Here is a 20,558-nt window from a genome sequence, read left to right as displayed (position 1 = left end):
GCAGACCTTTGCAGTGAGTCTTACAGCTCATAAAGGCAGTGGGAACCCAAAGAGTGAGCAGCAGTAAGATTCATTGCAAAGAGCAAAAGAACAAAGCTTCCACTGTGTGGAAGGGGACCCCAGCAGGTTGCCACTGCTGGCGTGGGCAGCCTGCTTTTATTCTCTAATCTGGCCCCACCCACATACTGCTGATTGGTCCATTTTACAGAGAGCTGATTGGTCCGTTTTGACAGGGTGCTGATTGGTGCCTTTACAATCCCTGAGCTAGACACAAAAGTTCTCCATGTCCCCACTAGATTAGCTAGATACAGAGTGTGGATTGGTGTATTTACAAACTCTGAGCTAGACACAGAGTGCTGATTGGTGCATTTACAAACCTTGAGCTAGATACAGAGTGCTGATTGGTGCATTCGCAATCCCTTAGCTAGACACAAAGATTCTCCAAGTCCCCACCAGACTCAGGAGCCCAGCTGGCTTCACCCAGTGGATCCCATACTGGGCTGCAGGTGGAGTTGCCTGCTAGTCCCCCACCGTGCGCAGGCTCCTCAGCCCTTGGGTTGTTGATGGGACTGGGCGCTGTGGAGCATGGGGCAGCGCTCGTTGGGGAGGCTCCAGCCAGGCAGGAGCCCATGGTGTTGGGGGTAGGCTCAGGCATGGCGGGCTACAGGTCCGGAGCCCTGCCTCACAGGGAGGCAGCTGAGGCCCGCTGAGAAGTGAGCACAGCTGCTGGCCCAGGTGCTAAGCCCCTCACTGCCCGAGGCTTGCAGGCCGGCCGCTCCGAGTGCTGGGTCCCCCGAGCCCACGCCCACCCGGAACTCTTGCTGGCCAGCAAGCGCCGGGGGCAGTGCCGGGGGCAGTCCCGGTTCCCGCCCGCGCCTCTCCTTCCACACCTCCCTGCAAGCTGAGGGAGTCGGCTCCGGCCTTGGCCAGCCCAGAAAGGGGCTCCCACAGTGCAGCGGCGGACTGAAGGGCTCCTCAAGCGCGGCCAGAGTGGGTGCCAAGGCCGAGGAGGCGCCGAGAGCGAGCGAGGGCTGCGAGGGCTGCCAGCATGCTGTCACCTCTCAATAGCTGTTCTGGGCCCCTGGGCCTACAGCTTATTTACTGCCCGCATGACTGATCCTCAGAAACATCAGTGAATAGTCAGTATACCAATGTTTCAGGTAAGGAATTCGAGAGGCAAAATACTAAGTGGCTAGCCTAAGATAACACAGCTTGAAGAAATTAAAATTGAGACCCAAACCAATTAATTATAGATTATAGATCATAGGTTTAAAAAAAAAAAACCAGTGGGTTTACAAACTAATTTTGGAATTTGGGATCTGTTTCCAAACAACATCTTAATATAATTCCAATATATACATTAGATATGAACAGAGTTGCTGGGATCGAAAGGTGGGATTGGCCTCCAGGACACAATGGCTCTACGTGATAGAGTGTGGAAGTCAGCACCCTGCATTGCACTTTGGCATTGAAGGATGGAGGAATGACCAGTGAGAACACAGCTTCCTCCCATTGTAAGTGGAGTCCATATGATGTGTGTGCTTTATTTCAACAAGTTTTATCACAGTTCAATCCCAGTTTCTTCTGCACACTGAAGTTGAACCCATTTCTCCCATTATTTCTACTCTAATATAGGAAAGAGGAGAATCTTGCATCTTGACAGATCGCCACCTGGTAGACTATTCTGCGATATTCTTACCTGGGTTTACTAGAGAACAAATACAAGATTAATCTTGGGCAATGTCTATGGAAATCCTAAAGTTCTCCTTTTTTTAAGCCATTCTTTACAATCCTCCAAAGGGATGCTTTAGCCAGGAGGCTCAGTGAGGAGCAGAAAGGCTGTGGGCAAAGGTCGCAGGGCAGCCACTGATGTGGCTCTCCTCTGCCTCATCTCCAGTGACTCGTTAACAAGCCAAGTTGCAGTGAAGTGTGCGTGACCTCTGTGGCTTTCTGCCACATTGCCATGTGAGTGGCATCTCAACAGAATAATGTTAAAGAGTAAACTTAAAAAAAATTGCTCTTGTGATTACTTTTAAGTTTCAGGGTTGAAATTTAATCTCTACTAATTCCTGGAGAAGAAAAAACAAGTGGCTTCCACAGTCCCAGCTCCTGGTGTCACTACTCACTGTCCCTCCCCCACCACACACACACACCTTGGGGTATAAGGAGGTGACCATGTATAAACCCCAACAACCCACACTTCAGGAAATATATCAATGCCAGTCTGTTTTATTTCTGTGACTACTGGCAGCCAGAGGGGCTAAATGGTGGCTACTGCAGCATCAGACAGGAAGGCGATAGCTTCATGGGGTGTCTAACCACTTCCAACAATTGTACTAGGTCAAATCCTTCACTGATACGATCTATTTGATTTTTTCCGGAACTTTAAACTTTTATTTCTATGTCTTATCTTTCATAATTTCTATCTCTGCTCAGTTTTGCAGTAGGTAATTTGATCATATCAGTCTTCCAATTTTCTAATTCCTCCTTCAGGGACAAACTGTTTCTAGTATAGTATGTTTAAAAGCATTTACTGTGGGATTACCCCCAAAACAATAACGACTAACTAGTATCTACTCTAACAAAATAAAGCATAGAGGAGTCTTTACTAAACATTGGATTAGTTTCAAAACAGAAAACAAAATTTTTTGTTTCAAGATAGTCAAATAAAATCAATAACAACCTAACAATCAAATGAAATGAATTAACTTTTTTTCCTCTCTTTTTGGGAGACTAGTCAATGCTAGCAAGGGTGTGTGTGAAATAGATATTTTCATATATTTCAGGTGTCAATATAAATTAGTACAATAATTTTAAGAAGCAATTTAAAATATGTATATTAAGAAAGTTTCTTCGGTAGTTAAAGATTATGAAACTTATGTAACAAAGATAATGCTCTGAAAATAACATTACATTTTGTTTGTTTGTTTGTTTTGAGGCGGAGTCTTGCTCTGTCTTCCAGGCTGGAGTGCAGTGGTACTATCTCGGCTCACTGCAACCTCTACCTCCTGGGTTCAAGAGATTCTCCTGCCTCAGCCTCCCGAGTAGCTGGGATTACAGGCGCCCGCCACCAAGTCCAGCTAATTTTTTTTTCTGTATTTTTAATAAAGACAGGGTTTCACCACGTTGGACAGGCTGGGCCTGCCTCAGCCTCCCAAAGTGTTGGGATTACAGGCATGAGCCACTGTTCCCATCCTGGAAATAACATTAAGTTTTAAAACAAAGTATAAATTATATGTGCAGTATGAATTATTACTATGGAACATACATGGAATAAATTGGGAACAGAATTTGGTTTGGGGTGGTAGAATTATAGGGTAATGTTTTTCTTTCTGCTTTTTCTTATTTTAAAATAATAAATTTCATTGTACTGCTTTTTATGAATGTAAAATTTACATAACATAGAATTAAGATTTTTAAACTGTACAATTCAGTGGCATTAAGCACATCCACAATGTTATACAACCATTACCTCTATGTTGTTCTAAAACATTTGATCACTCCAAAAGGAAACCTCATATCCATTAAGAAGTCTCTTCATACTTCCTCTTCTCCAATCCCTGGCAACCACTAATTTGCTTCTGTTTGTACTAATTTACCTATTCTGAATATTTTATGTAAATGGAATCATACCATATGTGACTTTTTGTGTCCAGCTTGTTTCACTTACTTAGTATGTTTCCAAGTTTCACCTATGTAGTAGCAGGTATCAGCACTTCATTCCTTTTTATGGCCAAATGCTATTTCATTGTATACTATACCACATTTTATTTATCCATTCATCCATCCATGGACATTTAGTTTGTTTCCAACCCTTGGCTATGGGAAGTAAATAGTGCTGCTATGAACATTCACGTACAAGTTTTTGTTTGACACCTATTTTCAGTTCTTTTGGGAATATACCTAGAAGTGTTGGTACAGAACTAGAACTAGTTGCTCAGTGAAGGCATATTTATCAATTTTTCTCTCTCAATTTGTGTGCAGCATCTTGGATGTGATGGAAAGCAGAACCATAGAGTAGATTTCTCATCAGCACAGTCCAAAGTGAAAGTGACAGGAAGCGCGTGAGCTCTGGTGAGCAGCCGCGGTTGTCCTGAGGACACCCTAGTCTAGTGTTACTAAAGTGCAGTCCAGGAGGCATCCTGTGAACAACATAGTGCCAATCAGTGGACCGGCATTTTGAGGAGTATGGCTTAGGGCTGGTAAGGTGCTAAGCACTGATAAGAACCTGAGGAGGTTTTGTAATAAGACTAATGGAGATCCAAGAATCCTTGAATTAGGGTTAAGGTAAGAGGGGTCTTTTAGGTCTGTAGGGACATAACAGTAGGCTTCTATTAACCTTGCATGGCAGCCTCAGGCCACATCTGGAGGTGGGGAGGAACAAGAAGTGTCTGTACACCCCTTTTTCCTGGCAGCCCTTCTCCTCTCACCGTTTATGACTCAAGGCTGGCTTGATGGATTGATGGTTACCCAGGCAACAGAGGTTGTATGGCTCTTATCAAAGGTTCTGCTTTGTGTGTGACAATTTAGTCAGGATCACTGGGCTTTGCAATGCTTTTCTGGCACAATTGGGGCTCTCATCTGGAATTTGCTTCCAGTTTCATCACAGAGAGCTGGTCTCAATGTTATGGGTATGGGCTGAATGCACCTCTAACTTCTTTTTTTCCTGCAGGAAGAATAAAATCATAAAAACAGATTACAAATGGAGAAAACAACCCCCTTGATAAAATGGATAGAAACTCATTTACATATTATTTTTTGAATGTCATATGTTTAAGCCCACAGGAGCCCCTGCAAGGATATTGCAAAGATTGCAGCCAGCACACACACACACAAAAAAACTACCTGAGAAATAGTTACTCCTCTTAATGGGAAATGGAGATTAATCCCAATTGGGCATCAAACATCAGCCGAGTGCTCAAAAATTGTAGAGGCAGAAAATGTTGGAGATTATTAATCAAAGTTCTGGCTGGGTCAAAGTGATCTTCCAAGTTGGTGCAGCCAAATATAAACATTTCAACCAAAGGTGAGTAGCCTTTAATGCTTCTCCGTAACGACAGTAAGAGTGCTTTAATTAAATAGGAGAGTGAAGCAAGTAGCTGATGTGAATCTGTTCTTAAGATATTCAATGCAAAGCCCAAGTTTGAGCACTTCTTTCCAAGCTTTCAGTGCCATTCTAGGGTCTGGATTTGGGCTAGTCAACAAGTGTCTGCTGGTAGCTAATACCAGGATTGAAACATCAAAGAAAGGCACCTTAACCTTGAAGTCAGGTCCTGTTCCTTAAGTAAGCGTTAGCCTCAGCATTTGAGTAGTAGAATTTCCAGGGTTAACGTTCTTCCCTTTGAGGCAACTGAGAACTTGGAAAAAAGTGTCCTTCCTGAGCCTTTGGCTCTGCGAGTTTCCTTTAGAACCCCTATGGCCCTTCCAGATTTATCTAGTTATTCCAGTTAGCAAATAGCGTTCAAAACTGATTCATAGTGATCCTGCAGGGGTGAATTGAGAAGGAGTCTAAGGCCGTTTCGGGGCTTAGTAACAGCGTGTGCTACATGCTGCCGCAGGCCTGGGAAAGGATTTCTACACCTGCCATTTCTGTTTGGCTTAGAGTCCACAGTTGTTTCCCATTACTAGGGCTGTTTCCCTGACCTGAGATCCTATCTTCCCACCCATTGTCCCAGGCCTGCCTAGTTTCTCAGCAGTGGGATGGAGTGGAATGGGTTTTGGTTCAAACTGCCCTGTATTCAAACCCTAGCTCTGTTGCTTATTAGCTGTGTGTCTTTGGTGAGAGAATGAATTGAAATAACACAAGTAAAATATACGGGAGAGGACCTAGGCATGGTAGGTGCTCAATTAATGGTACTCTTTTTTTATAACTCAAGTAGAGCTACTTTTTGGAAGCTATTTCTGGCTCGCTTAGTTCCCATGGCCTCCCGCACACCCTCTCCTATGGACTTGTCCCACTTGACTGTGATCGCCATTTTCATCTCTCTCCCCAACTGGTCTGACTTATTTGTCTTGTTTATCTCCCTGTATCTCCAGCAACCAACACCATGTCTGACACATCTTAATTGTTCAAGAAATGCTGCTTGTTGACAACTTGCTCCTAAGCTACTAGTTCTTACCTATCTGCCTTAACAAGTTAAGATATTATGGCTTGAATGATGAAAAACATCAGTTCATAAGGCTTCCATCAGCAGTGTCAAGGGCAAAGTCAGCCCTAGAAGCAGCCGCTCTTCTCCAATAGAAATGAGCCAACAGCACAGAATGTGAAGAGAGCCCCAGTCATTTCCAAACCATCAAACTACAAAAGAGCTCTTCCAAACCACCATATGGCCGGTGAGGCCAGATGCATCCACTGACAAGCATCATGGTGACACACTGAGCCAGGCTGCTCACTGAGTCACTGGTGGTCAGGAGGTAAGACTTTTGATGCTGCTGGAATCAGGATCCCAGTGGGGTTTAGGGAATGATGCATCTACCCAGCTGCTCTTAGAATTCTCTATTAAGTTCTTAACCCTCCTAAATTAGACCTCAGGAGCTTAAGCTTGGCATTGGGTGACCTTATAAAGAAAGCCATGAAATGGTCTCTGTACCAGACCTCTGTGTGGGGAATTAAGTAGAAAATTTCTTAACATATTTCCTGTTGGTTCAATGCTGTGGCCACCCCTATTGTTTTTCTTTGTTCTGCCTTAGTGCAGAGGGGGTCTTTTAACATAAAATAGGTACATATTTTTCTATGGGAGATGATTGGTTTTAGCATGAAAGAGGCTGGCTTATGTGGTGGGTACTCTACCTAAAGAATTTGAAAACACAGGCAAACAGGACCCCAGTCAGGGAACTATGGAGAGCCCTCCAAGATGACACTCATCAGCTCCACCCCAGGGCAATGACGGTATGAGGCTAGGACCTGGGGAGATGAGTGTTGAGAGGGTGGGATGCCAGGAGGCCAAGGGGAAGTGGTTTCTGTGTGCCACATAATATTGAATCAGTGCTTGCTGAAAAGTGGCCCAAAGGGAAAGTGAAGACATATATATGTATTATATGCATGCAACATATATAGTAGATAATATATATAGTACATACTAGAAATATAATCTATTAGGGGCCACATGTGTTTCTGATAAGCCATAGCTAAGATTAAGTTTTTCTTGAGATAAACTAAGAGGGTTCATCTTTCTGGACTTTGAGGACCACAGTGGCAGGATTACGTGGGCGTATCTCATTTCAAAAGGAAAAAAGGAAGCTCCTGAGCACTAACCTGCCTGGAGAATTCTCCCATTCTCTTATCCATGCCATAACAATCACTTTTACTACAAGTCAGACACGGTTCAATGCTTCCCATGTTTTAACTCACTAATTCTGTAAGTATTATCATTTTATCATTTGTAACTGAGAGGAACTGAGGCACTGAGAAATAAAGTAGCTTAACCAAGTCACGGGAGCTCATGGTGGCAGAGCTGGAATTGTGAGTGTAGGCCCTTGGAGTCTAGAGCCTGTGCCCCTCACCGCTAGGCCGTACAGCCTTTCCTCAGCCATCGAGAGCCTCTTCCACACACCTCCTTTAATCCTGACCCGCCTCTTGCTTCCTGCGGCTGCTCCCTTCTGTGATCCCAAACTGTGCATAGGGGGCTGGGCAGTGGCCCTCCTGTTACTTGGAGTATCTATTACTCACTTCTGGGCTAGTCTATGAGATAGGAGCATGAACCTCATCTCTTAATCATTTTTTAATTCCTTGGTGTCCCATTTGATAAAATGCACAAAGCTAGTACCGACAAATGTTTGACAGATGAAATGAATGAGTAAGTGAATAAACTTAGGAATACGGGAGAAAACTGGGGTCATATGTGCATCATCAGACCTGGTAACAATAGCCATTAATATTTATTGATGGTTTGCTATGCTCCAGGCAGTATGCTGAGGACTTTGCATGCGTTATCCATTTAGTCATTAGCATGACTCTCTGGGACAGGTTCTGCTTCTATCCGCATTTTACATTTCAGGAAAACAAGGCTCCAATAGATGGACTTACTCAAGTTCTCACAGCTAGTGATCTGCAGAGCTAGTATCCCAACTCACATCTATCTGATGCCAAAACCTATGATCTTAAATCTCCACAACCTTTTACTGTGTTCAGATCCCTGGCCTGATAGTCTAACCTTGCATACTTGGTCATGGCAATCTAGCAGAGGCTTTCAAAGCTACATTTTTAAAGTCCTACCATCTTTGCTGTGGATCTCCCTAAAACAATGCTGTCTGTGGTTGTCTTGAAAATCCCTGTTTTTCTTATTGGTGTTAAACCTAGCTACTGGTCATCACATTGGTATTACCACTGCCTAATTTGTAATGGACCCTTGCTATGTACAGGGCTAGATTCTCTTAGTATTTTAATGCATTTAATTCTGTCAACAGCCATATGAGGAAAGTACTTTTATTAAATTCATTTTATGAATGAGGAGGACACTGAGGCCCAGAGAATCAAATTAACTTGCCCAAAGTTCCACTATAAGTAAGGGACAGGCTGGTGTTTAGTTCCAAGCAGCCTGGTTGCAGAGCCTGCATTCTCAGCTGCTGTGCTAACCTGACTCAGCAGCAGGATTGGGTGGTTTCACATCCCTGCCTGTGGTTGCAGTTCTTTAATTCGCTTGGGATCTTCAAAGGCCAAGGCTATGGGCTTGATCTCTGATAGCACTAGTCTGTGCCTTAATCCTGGCCAGATGTCCTGCAAATATCTCATAGATCTAGGACCTTGGTTACCAAGGAGACCAGGTGGGAGAATGGGGATGAATTAGTGCCAGTCAACCAGTTCTGTAGGGAAAACTGTGCTGCTGACAATAGGTCAGAACTAGCTTCCCCATATCATTAAAATACTCACTGAAAACATGTTAGTCAACAAATCTGCCTTACTTACATGCCCAAATGCTAAACCTGTCCCCAACTGGCTTTACGTGCACAGAATGTTGGCTCTCACATCCATGATTCGTTGAAAAGGTCAAATTCCACTCTGGCTGTTTCATCAGAAGGGTAAATACTGTGTGTTAGATATTTGATGTGCATAGACTAAGAGCATTTTCCAGTGAAAGCTTCAGAGGTTTGTGGGCAGAGCCAGAGTCACAGGGGATGTTAGAGCTGCCAGGAGTTTTAGGGAATCAAAGTCCAGCCCCCAAAACCCCTGTTTTACAGATAAGGGAGGCCAGATTGCCCCTGCATGCTTGCAGCTAGTGATGGCAGAACCAGGACTAGACCTCCCATCTGCCATGAACTGGCTGATGGAGATTGTCAAATTATGTTATCAAAACTCTTTAGAGATTTATCTGGCTTCATTGGCAAAGGTTGGGAATTGAAAGTGGATATTCCATCATTTGAGAAGGAGGAAGGATGTGCTATTAGGGCGTTAGCATCTCTCTATAGTCCAATTGAAATGAAAAATTAATCGACTTTCTGGCCAATTCAATCAATCAAGGTAGTCAATGGGAAGTTATTTCCTCAAATACTCAGGTTCCATGTTTGAATTAACTGCTGTCTGTATGTTAATTCTATGTAACTGCTCTATGTATTTCACTGTTTCTATTAATAAAATAATATTGAAGTCTTTTTTTAAAATCTTGACTAATAGGAAAATTATCATACTATCTAATAGATCTTATAAATCCTTTGTCTTTCACAAATCTTTGCATGAAAAACAAGTCTGTCACTTCAAAAATAATTTGTCATATAGGGTTTCCATTTGGAATGATGAAAACTTCTGGAAGAAGACAGGAATGATGGTGGCACAACATCACAACTGAACTTAATGGCACCAAATTGTATACTTTAAAATGGATAAAATGGTAAATTTTGTGGTATTATTCCATAATAAAGTAATTTATAAAGAAGCCCAATTATTGGGAATAGAAAAAATCAATTCAGTGACAAATAATATATTTCATTGATTTGTCCAATAAATATATATGGAGTACCTGCTATGGGTCAAGTACTTATTTGAAAAATGTTTGAAAGTTGAGTACTTGCTAACTGTAAGGTGTTACACAAATATGTTTGTGGATAACTGTGAGTGTGCTTGTGGGGCAAGTGCTGGTTACTTACCCTTCACACCCTTCACTCTTGTGGATTCACTCTTTACTCTTTTCCACATTGCTTTGTATTTTGGAAGTCTCTCCTGAATGGACTGCAGCAACAGTTTCCCTTACCAACCTGGCCTCCTGTTAGGTTTGGCCAGTGGTGGGGTGGCAGCGGGTGGGGGGATGCCAGGAGAAGAAGAGGGAGAGGGAGGAGTGTGAGGTTTGCATATATTCCTTCAACTCCTTTCCTGCTGGTTCATTGTAAATTTGTTGCATCCCTCTACCACAGGGGCCCTGTCCCAGAAATCCAAAAGTATTCAAAATAGAACTAAGTTTCAAGATCTTCTACTTTAAGGTTGCTTCTGAGTTTTCTTTTTCTTTATGGCTCATGTTTTAAAAGATGACCACATTTTCAAATGGGTTAACATTTTCTAAAAAGTCCATTTTAGAAAAAAATGGAGTTCCAATTAACAGAGTTTTGAATTATCCAATATATTTTATTATAAAACAAGAAAGCACCATTTCAACTAGGGAGCACTGATTGCTTAAAACTACACTCTTTTGAATAAACCCATATTAGTTTAATGAAGTTTTCCTGTGATTAGTATAATCTACTGCAATTGTATTCAAACCCCAAATTATGGGTATTATATGCCCGAAATACAGCACTGGTTAAAGGCAATTAGTTTAATCACTTTCCTGATGGGAAATGAGACAGGGACACCACAGAGCAGGGCAGCCCATTAGCATGTGATGTGAAGAGGCCAGCCCTCCTTTCTGCTTCTTGCAGGGCACAGCCTTACTCTCTTACGCCTGCCGCTGCACTCTCCTCCTACAGCACATGGCGTTTTACAAAACACTACCCTATGTAGTGGTGGCTTTTTTCTGTTAATCAATATCCTCAAGCCATGTAGTTCAGGCCTTCCTCATCACCCACCTGGACAATTGCCACCATGCTGCCTTGTAAGCTCATGCAGGGTGCTCACTGCCCGGGGTGCCTCGCCAGAGGGAGAGCTTAAATCCAGCCTGACTCTGCTCATCACGCCTGTTTGGTGCTTCTACCCAGAAAAGGTACCTTTTCCTAACTTGCTCAAATGTGGCAGCAGCAGCCCTGTTGCCACCATCTCTTGCCTGGTCTCTCTTCCTCTGGTCTTGCCCTCTTCTTATTCATCCTCCCACTTACAAACTTATAAAATGTGGGTTTGACCATGCTGCTCCTGCTTAAGCCTTTCAATGGCTCCTTATTCTAGAGAGCAGCGCTTCTCAAACTTCCACATTCAAGTGAATCACCTGCCATGAAGGTGGGGATGGATCTTGTTAAAAGGTGGATTCTAATTTAGTAGGTCTCAGGCTAGTAAGTCTCAGGTGGAGCCCGAGACCTTCCATTTCTAACTAGCTCCCAGGTGAGGCCGATGCTGCTCGTCTGCAGATCACTTTGAGTAGTAAGGCTCTAGGGCAGCACTGTCCAAGGGAAGTCTCTACGATGGTGTCTGTCCAATATAGTAGCCACCACCTGTATGCAGCTACTGAGTACTTGAAATGCAGCTAGTGTGACTGAGGAACTGAATTTTAAATTCAATTTAATTTTAGTTAATTTAAATTTAAATAGGCACATGCAGCTAGTGGCTACTGTATTGGACAGCACAGCTACAGAGGATAACATCCATGCTCCTCAGTGTGACTTACAAAGCTCTCTGCAGATCTTTTGCCCACTTCTTGTTCGTTGTTTTCTGCCCTTCCCTATCTCTCATTTTATGTTACACCACGAAACTTCCATAATTTTCCAAACAAGTCACGTGTTTTCATGTCCCTACTTTGCAAGTGCTGTTCCCTTGCTTGGAATTCCTTTCTCTACCTTTTGTGCCCAATGATGCAACATCTTCTGATTCCCATTCCAGCCCCTCCTCTTCTAAGAATCCATCACTGACCATACCCTGCTAACAGCAACCATTTACCGAGTGTCTCCATGTAGTGTAACAGGGCCCTGCACACACCTTATTTCATTTGATGTGCACATTAAGTTTGATATATGAAAACAGGCATCAAGTGGCTTGCCTAGGGTCGCAACTAGAAAGTTGAAAAACCACAAATTCATACCTAGGCTGCCTGATTCTGAAGCTCATTCTTTCCCCACCACACCATGGTACCCTCTGCTTGCACAGGACTGTGATATCCATAGCACTAACCATGTGATGGTGAAATTGTTTGTCTATGGTCTCTCTTCTCCATGAAATCATAAGCTGCTAGAGATCACAGGCTAGGTATTTTTTATTTCTGTATTCTGGGGGCCTGCTACATCATGAATGCTTGATCACTGTTGTTGAAATGTGTATGTTTCTTCTCTTCAACTCCATGGTAAAATCCTTGAGTGTGACAACTGTGTGTTCTTTTTTTGTTTTGGTTTGGTTTATTTTGAGACGAAGTCTTGCTCTGTCGCCCAGGCTGGAGCGCAGTGGCGTGATCTTCGCTCACTGCAACCTCCGTCTCCCGGGTTCAAGCGATTCTCCTGCCTCAGCCTCCTGATTAGCTGGGATTATGGGCATGCAACACCACGCCCAGCTAATTTTTGTATTTTTAGTAGAGACGGGGTTTCACCATGTTGGTCAGGCTGGTCTCAAACTCCTGACGTCATGATCCGCCCACCTCGGCCTCCCCCAGTGCTGGGATTACAGGCCTGAGCCACCGCGCCTGGCCCTGTGTTTTATTTCACGGATGTGCTCAGTGCTTGGTAGGCCCCTGATGAGTGCTGGAACAAATGAATGCATAATTAAATGAGTGTGCTGACTACGGACAACATAGGCAAGGATTTTGTTAGGAACTCAAGGGTAGGGATTCTTCTAAGCAACTTTAATGCAAGAGATAGATGGGTACCGAATAATGACAAGGAGGAAATAAGGGGAGAGTGTAGGGAAGTGTGAGAAAGGCTGAGAATGGGAGAAAACTGCAATAACAAGAATTTGATGTGTGCTTCCCTTCAAATCTCCTTAATTAGCATGGACAGTGTTCCCCTGAATTAACATCTTGAAAAGTACATGTTATTGAGAAAGTGAAAAAATGGGAATGCTTATATGCTGATAGAAGGACCCAGGAGTGTAAATTGGCATGACCTTTATAAGGGAAATTTGGAATAGTATTCATATTCTTTAAAAACATGCGTGTCCTTTATCCTATCAATTCTACTTGTGGGAATTTATCCTAAGATAATCATAGCTATGTACTGAATTTTATCAGCAAACGCATCATTATAACATTATTTATAATGATTAAAAATAAAAAAAACCTTTTGAGCCCCTAGATTAAATTACTTATATCCATATGATTGAATACTATTTAGTCATTAAAGTGGTACAAAATTATATATATTGATAAAGAACAACTTTATATATGTTTAAGATAGAAAAGCAGGTTACAACATGGAATATTTCATATTTTTCCTATTTAGGGGGGAAAGTTTGAGGGTGCTTGTATATGCACAGATAAAACAAAGACCTAAGGAAATACCTGAGTCTTTTAAAAAATAATTTCAACTTTTATTTTAGAATCAGGGAGTACATACGCAGGTTTGTTACATGGGTATGTTGCATGGTGCTGAGGTTTGGGGTACAACTGATTCTATCACCCAGGTAGTGAGCATAGTACTCGATAGTTTTTTAACCCTTGCTTCCCTCCATTCCCACTCTAGTAGTCTTTAGTGTCTATTGTTGCCATCTTTATATCCATGTTTAATTTCCACTTACAAGTGAGAACATGGAGTATTTGGTTTTCTGTTCTTGTGTTAATTTGCTTAGGATAATGGCCTCCAGCTGCATCCGTGTTGTTGCATAGAACATGATTTCATTGTTTTTATGGTTGCATAGTATTCCAAGGTATAAAAGTACCACGTTTTCTTTGTGCAATCCACCGTAGACGGGCACCTAGGTTGATGCCATGTCTTTGCTACTGTGAATAGTGCTGTGATAAACATATCAGTGTATGTGTCTTTTTGGTAGAACAATATATTTTCTTGGGGCTATATACCCAGTAATTGGATTGTTGTGTTGAATGGCAGTTCTGTTTTAAGTTCCTTGGGAAATCTCCAAACTGCTTTCCACAGTGACTGAGCTAATTTACATTCCCACTAACAGTGTATAAGTGTTCTCTTTGCTCTGCAGTCTCACCAGTATCTGTTATTTTTTGACTTTTTAATAGTAGCCATTCTGACTGGTGTGAGATGCTATCTTGTTGTGGTTTTGATTTGCATTTCCCTAATGAGTAATGGGGTTGAACATTTTGCATATGTGTGTTGGCTGCTTGTCTGTCTTCTTTTGAGAAGTGTCTTTTCATGTCTCTTGCTCACTTTTTAATAGTTATTTGTTTTTTGCTTGTTGAATTGTTTAAGTTCCTAATAAATTCAGGATATTAGACCTTTGTTAAATGCATAGTTTGTGAATATTTTCTCCCATTTTGTAGGTTGTGTTTACTCTGTTGATGATTTTCTTTTGTTGTGCAGAAGCTCTTTAGTTTAATTAGGTCCCACTTGTCCATTTTTTTGTTGTTGTTGTTGCAGTTGCTTTTCAGGACTTAGTTATACATTCTTTCCCGAGGCTGATGTCCAGAATGGTGTTTCCTAAGTGTTCTTCTAGGATTCTTATAGTTTGAGATCTTACATTTAAATCTTTAATCCATCTTGAGTTAATTTTTGTATATGGTGAAAAGTTGTGGTCCAGAGTTTCATACTTCTGCATATGGCTAGCCAGCTATCCCAGCATCATTTATTGAACAGGGAATCCCCAAAAAGACTCTTAATAAGTTCCCTTGGTGATAGGATTTGATTATTTTTGCCTTTACACTTTGCATCAGTATGTTCTACTTTTACGACCAGAAAAATACATTAAAAAAAAAGGACATTAATATGTTCACTAGTTCCATTTTACCCTGGTATCTAATTATCAGATATCTTCTAGAAGATCCAGGATACACCTCATAGGAAATCTATAGGAGGCCAACTGCTTAGAAATGTCTCCAGCTCCAGGAAGTCATGCTCTCCTGTCATCATTCAATGCCCTGATTTCTTGATTTCCAGTATCTATTATTTTCCTGACTCTGCTTTCAAATCTAGCCTAGCTCGGCGCCATCTCACCTTTGTCCAGCCTTTATTCCATTGATGTTCCCCTCAGGTGGGCCATCTGTGGTAGACATGAGCCTCTGGTGCTCAAAGCCTGGCCCAGGTGTGTTTTTCACTGCCCTGTTTATTTCTGTTTGCTGTGCATTTTGACATGTAACTTCCTAATCCCTGTTGTCACCATCATCTCTTGCTCTTTTGTTTTTGAGATGCTGTTGTCGTCTTTCCTCCCTTCTGCTGTCTCTTCCTTAGCCTCATAGTCAGCAAGGATAGGGGTCATACACTTGGTCCAGTGTGACTCATTCCACCCACCAGGAGCCTGTGAGTCTTAGATGAAAAGCAAACAAGTAATTAGAGCCTATTCTAGCATCTAGACATAATTTGCTCTATGAAAAAGACCTTTTAAAAGAGAGAAACAAGCGAAGGAATAGCTTACTGGTTTGTTCCAATAAGCACAAGATAGGTTTTAGAAGCACAATATGAAATCCTTCAAGGAAACTTTACATGATCATCCTAAGGAATTTTTCAGCTTTGTGTAAGGAGGAGAGAGTTCTAATAACAAAATTAGAAAATGATGTGGTCCGATTTTTTTTCACTCTGTGAAGACTGTAGATTAAGCTATCTGCTTGTGTTTTACAATATTTTTATAACATATTGCAGCTCCCTGATGTCTATCGGCATTACAGAGTGTGGCAAAGGGATATGCAGGGGCAGCAAAACATCATGGGTGTGAAGAGAGAGGCCTGTACATAGAAACTGCTAAAAAGACCATAGGGGGTTGAGCATGGTGGCTCATGCCTATAGTAATCCCAGCACTTTGGGAGGTCAAGGCAGGAGGATCACTTGAGCCCAGGAGATCGAGAGCAGCCTGGGACACATAGTGAGACCCCATCTCTACAAAAAAAAAAAAAAATTTCAATTAGTCGGGTACGGTGGCACACACCTATATTCCCAGTTCCTGGGAGGCTGAGGCGGGAGGATCGCTTGAGCCCAGGAGGTTGAGACTGCCATGAGCCATGATTGTGCCACCGCATTCCAGCATGGGTGACGGAGCAAGACCTTACCTCAAAAAATAAAAAATAAAGACCATGAGAATGAGGCCAGGTCTGGGACACCACATCCATCAGTGGTCGCTTCAACTGGAATAAATCAGCAAATACTCAGGAGGTTGGTGGGGAAGCAAATACCGAGAGCCAGGAAATGTACACCTGCTTGAAGAAGAAACTGTCCTCAACTAGTATGGCAAATGCATGCAGGTCACACCTCCCACAGTGAGTGTATGCTGCTAACTCATTGGTCATCCAACAGCCATTGTATCCAACAGCACTTCCCACCTCTCCAGTCCCATCTCTCTCCACATCCCTATTGTCTCTACATTGCATCAGCTCCATGAATGCACTGTAATGCCATCGGCATCAGAGCCTGTGCCTACACCCCTCCAGCTGCCAGGAATATTCCTTCCCTTCCTGTTTGCCTAGGTAACTTCTGCTCATCCTTCAGAACCCAGGATGTATCTATGTCTGTCTATACCTATGTCTATGTCTATATTGAGCTTTATATGTAAATAGAGATGTGGATGTAGATACTCATACACACAAACACAAAAACACACACACACTCAATTTATTGTGTGTATGGCACAATAAATGGAGTGTGGCGGGGCACAGGCTTAGGAAGTTTCAAGGTCACTTCCTCAGGAAAGTCTTCTCTGATCACCCTGCAGACCAGGTCAAGTGCCCTGTTATAAGTCCTCTGGCACCATGTATCTCTCTATTGTATGGTAATCACAGTGTAATTAGAAATGTAAACTCTCAAGGGTAGGGATTCACTGTTGAGTCCCCAGTATCTAGAGCAGAGCTTGGCACTATAATGGATGTTTAATAATATTTATTTGTATGTTTATTAGATTCACATCTGTCTTCCAAGCTAGAAGGTAAGTAATCTAGATACTGTGTTTTTATTCATGGTCTGTTTCCAGCACCTAGTACAGAGCCTGGCACATAGGACGCATTCAGCAAATGTCTGTTGAGTGAATGACTGAACTCTATACCATATGCTGACACAGTGAATGCAGGGGTGAATGAGGGCCAGTCGCTGGCCTCATGCAGTTTGCATGAGGCAGATCTTTTAGTGGGAAGACAGATGAGCAGACCATTACCATTCAGTGTAAAACATGCTGTGAAGAGTGAGAGCAGAGTGCAAAGGAGACACACAGGAGGACATCTTAGCCAGTCTAGGCTGAGGGAAGGGGAGAAGTTTGCGTGGGGATGGGGGTTCATAAAAGGGACTCTGGAGGGGGTGGCATCTAAGCAGAGAACAGGTGATGGCAGGAAGAAATATGGGCAGAATCATTCTTGGCCAAGGGAGCAGCACCAAAACCCAAAAAGAGAGTTGGAGAAAGACAGGCAGAGACCAAAGGAGACAGACACATGGACACGAAGGACAGACTACCAAGTGCAGTGTAGAAGCAGTGATACTTACCTTTGTTTCAATTTCCTTTTAGCGGGGTGATATAGATATTGCATGATGCTTGTAAAGAAACTTATTGCACAAAATAGACATTATCTATGAAACCGTTTCATTAAAAAAAGAAGCCTAGTTGGAAGGTTTCAGTATGTAAGCAGGTGTGCATTTTCTGACTTCAGAAAGTCCCCTTAAAACGTCCCCAGGATTGATCCTTGTTTATGCCATCCAAGCCTCAGTTAAATTCAACTGGAGAGGGATTCTGCTGCAGGGCATGCATTGCTGATGCACTCTCTGAGTGACTTGGGCTTACAGGTTAATGACTAGCAGGGGAAAGAGTGTTTTTATAACAGGATCAGCACTCATGGACTTTTTCTTCCCCTAAAAACTAGCTCTGCTCTCGAAAAGCCCTGGTCATGTGCCTCAGCAGCTGATTAGGGAGGATATGCTATTTGTTGTGTATCACCTTCCCCACGACTTACGCCTCTCAGTCACCTGTATTCATTTAGAAGACGTTTGTTATGTGCCTTTTTAGGCTCCCAGCCTATTCAAGGGAAACACCAGTATTTGAGTTCCTATGTACCAAGAACTCAGAGAAAACTAAAAGACCTAGTCCATAGTGTCAAAGAACTAACAATTTAGTTGAGGATACGAAATATATGCATCTGAAGCAATTAGGGCATAGTACTAATAATATTCTGTTATTTTCAAGCAACTGAAACCGTATCTTCCCTCTTAAGAAAAAGGGAAAATTCCTGAGTGGAGACAAGGGAATCACACATAATGGAAAGAGAGTTTGACAGACAGGATGTGAAGAATATAGGGCAGCTCAGGGATCTCAGTAGCAGGAATGTGTGGACCTTTGTCAAGATCTGTCATTTAGGGATATGCATATAAAATATAAGGAAAAAATTAAAACCATCTAGTATCTCACCTCCCAGGGGCAACCGCCAGTATGCTTCTGACATATATTCTTCTAGTCTTTTTGTTTTTCCTTTGAGCATCTGGGTGAGTGTGTATATTTGTCACAAAATTGAGATTCTGCACTTTACGCTGTTTTGTGTCTTGCTCTTTTCGCTTAACATTATACTGAAAACATTGAACTGTCATTGAAAGCTCTTTGAAATACATCTTTCAGTGGCTGCATAATTTTAGTATGTGGCTGCACCATAATTCATTTACTAGTCCCTATTATTGTTGAGCATATAAATTATTTTCAATTTTTCACTATTATAAAATATACTGTAATAAACATCACAGTACATTGTCTGAATTATTGTCTGAATTTCTGAGTGGGAAAAAACGTTTCAATCAAGGATTTAAGACAGAATCATTACCTGTGATTTTAAATGCCTGGGATAACCTGAAACATTCTGCCCAGCCAAAATACCGTTCCACTAACTTTGCCATTTTACGAGGGTATCCATTCTTTTACACTCCACAATCAAAACACCATTTTGTAAATCACTGATTTCTTAGTGCTCTAAATACAACAACTTAGTCACTGGAAAGAAAGAATGACCCTAAAACCAAATCAATATCAGGCCAATTATTTATTCTTGGTCCTTGGACATGAATCTATTTTGTGGAGGCTAGGGAGAGTCAACTGATTGCATTCTGCTTTTCAGTAGACTTTTTCTTCTGGGTCAGGAGAGGAAGGAGGCAGATATGTTCTGGGAAGAGGGATAAAATCTAGGAGACAATTAGAGACCTCAAAAGATTCTAGTTTTTAATCTTTTATTTAATAAACACCATGTGTCAGACGTTGTTCTGAGGGTTTTATGAATATTTAGTCACTTAATCTTGCTACTAATGTGTATTAGTTCATTCTCACACTGCTATAAAGAACTTTCTAAGACTAGGTAATTTATAAAGGAACAAGGTTTAATTGACTCACAGTTCCAAATGGCTGGGGACACCTCAGGAAACTTATGATCATGGTGGGGAAGGGGAAGCCAGGACCTTCTTCACATGGCAGCAGGAGAGAGAAGTGCAAGCAGGGGAAATGCCAGACACTTATAAAACCATCAGATCTCATGAGAACTCATTCACTATCATGAGAACAGGATAGGGGAAACCACCCCCATGATCCAATCACGTTCTTCCCTCAAGATGTGGGGATTACAGGTCCCTCCCTCAATACATGGGGATTACAATTCAAGATGAGATTTGTGTGAGGACACAGAGCCAAACCATATCATTCCATCCCTGACCTCTACCAAATATCATGTCCTCACATTTCAAAACCAATCATGCCTTCCCAACAGTCCCCCAAAGTCCTACCGCATTTCAGCATTAAGTCAAAAGCTGCAGTCCAAAGTCTCATCTGAGACAAGGCAAGTCCCTTCCATCCATGAGCCTGTAAAATCAAAAACAAGTTTATTTCTTCCAAGGTACAATGAAGGTACAGGCATTGGGTAAATACATCCATTCCAAATGGGAGATATTGGCCAAAACAAAGGGACTACAGGTCCTATGCAAGTCCAAAATGCAGTGGGGCAGTCATTAAATCTTAAAGCTCCAACATAATCTACTCTGACTCCATGTCTCAAATCCAGGGCATGATGATGCAAAGGGTGGGCTCCCATGGCCTTGGGCAACTTCATCCCTGTGGATTTACAGGGTACAGCCCCACTCCCTGGCTACTTTCATGGCTGGTGTTGAGTGTGTGAGGCTTTTCCAGACACACAGTGCAAGCTGTTGGTGGATCTGCCATTCTGGGGTCTGGAGGATGGTGGCCCTCTTCTCACAGCTCCTCTAGGCAGTGCCCCAGTGGTGACCCTGTGTGGGGGCTCCAACCCTGTATTTCCTCTTTGCACTGCTCTAGCAGAGGTTCTCCATGAGGGCTTTGCCCCTGCAGACTTCTGCCTGGACATCCAGGCATTTCCATACATTCTCTGAAATCTAGGCAGAGTTTCTCAAACCTCAGTTCTTGACTT

The 20,558-nt window shown here is 42.3% G+C and overlaps 1 long non-coding RNA gene across 1 annotated transcript in view; it reads right to left on the bottom strand.

The window, feature by feature from the left end:
* LOC105375653 (uncharacterized) overlaps positions 1 to 20,558 on the bottom strand; it is a 39,647-nt gene that overhangs the window by 6,218 nt on the left and 12,871 nt on the right. The window contains exon 3 of the long non-coding RNA XR_928432.2: positions 19,903 to 19,978. This is a non-coding gene — a long non-coding RNA (uncharacterized LOC105375653). The remainder of the gene's footprint in view (positions 1 to 19,902; positions 19,979 to 20,558) is intronic.

The sequence above is a fragment of the Homo sapiens genome, chromosome 8, assembly GCF_000001405.40.
Source record: "Homo sapiens chromosome 8, GRCh38.p14 Primary Assembly".
NCBI classification, from domain to species: domain Eukaryota; kingdom Metazoa; phylum Chordata; class Mammalia; order Primates; family Hominidae; genus Homo; species Homo sapiens.
The sequence above is the reverse complement of the archived record's forward strand: the minus strand, read 5'-3'. Positions and strand labels throughout refer to the sequence as shown.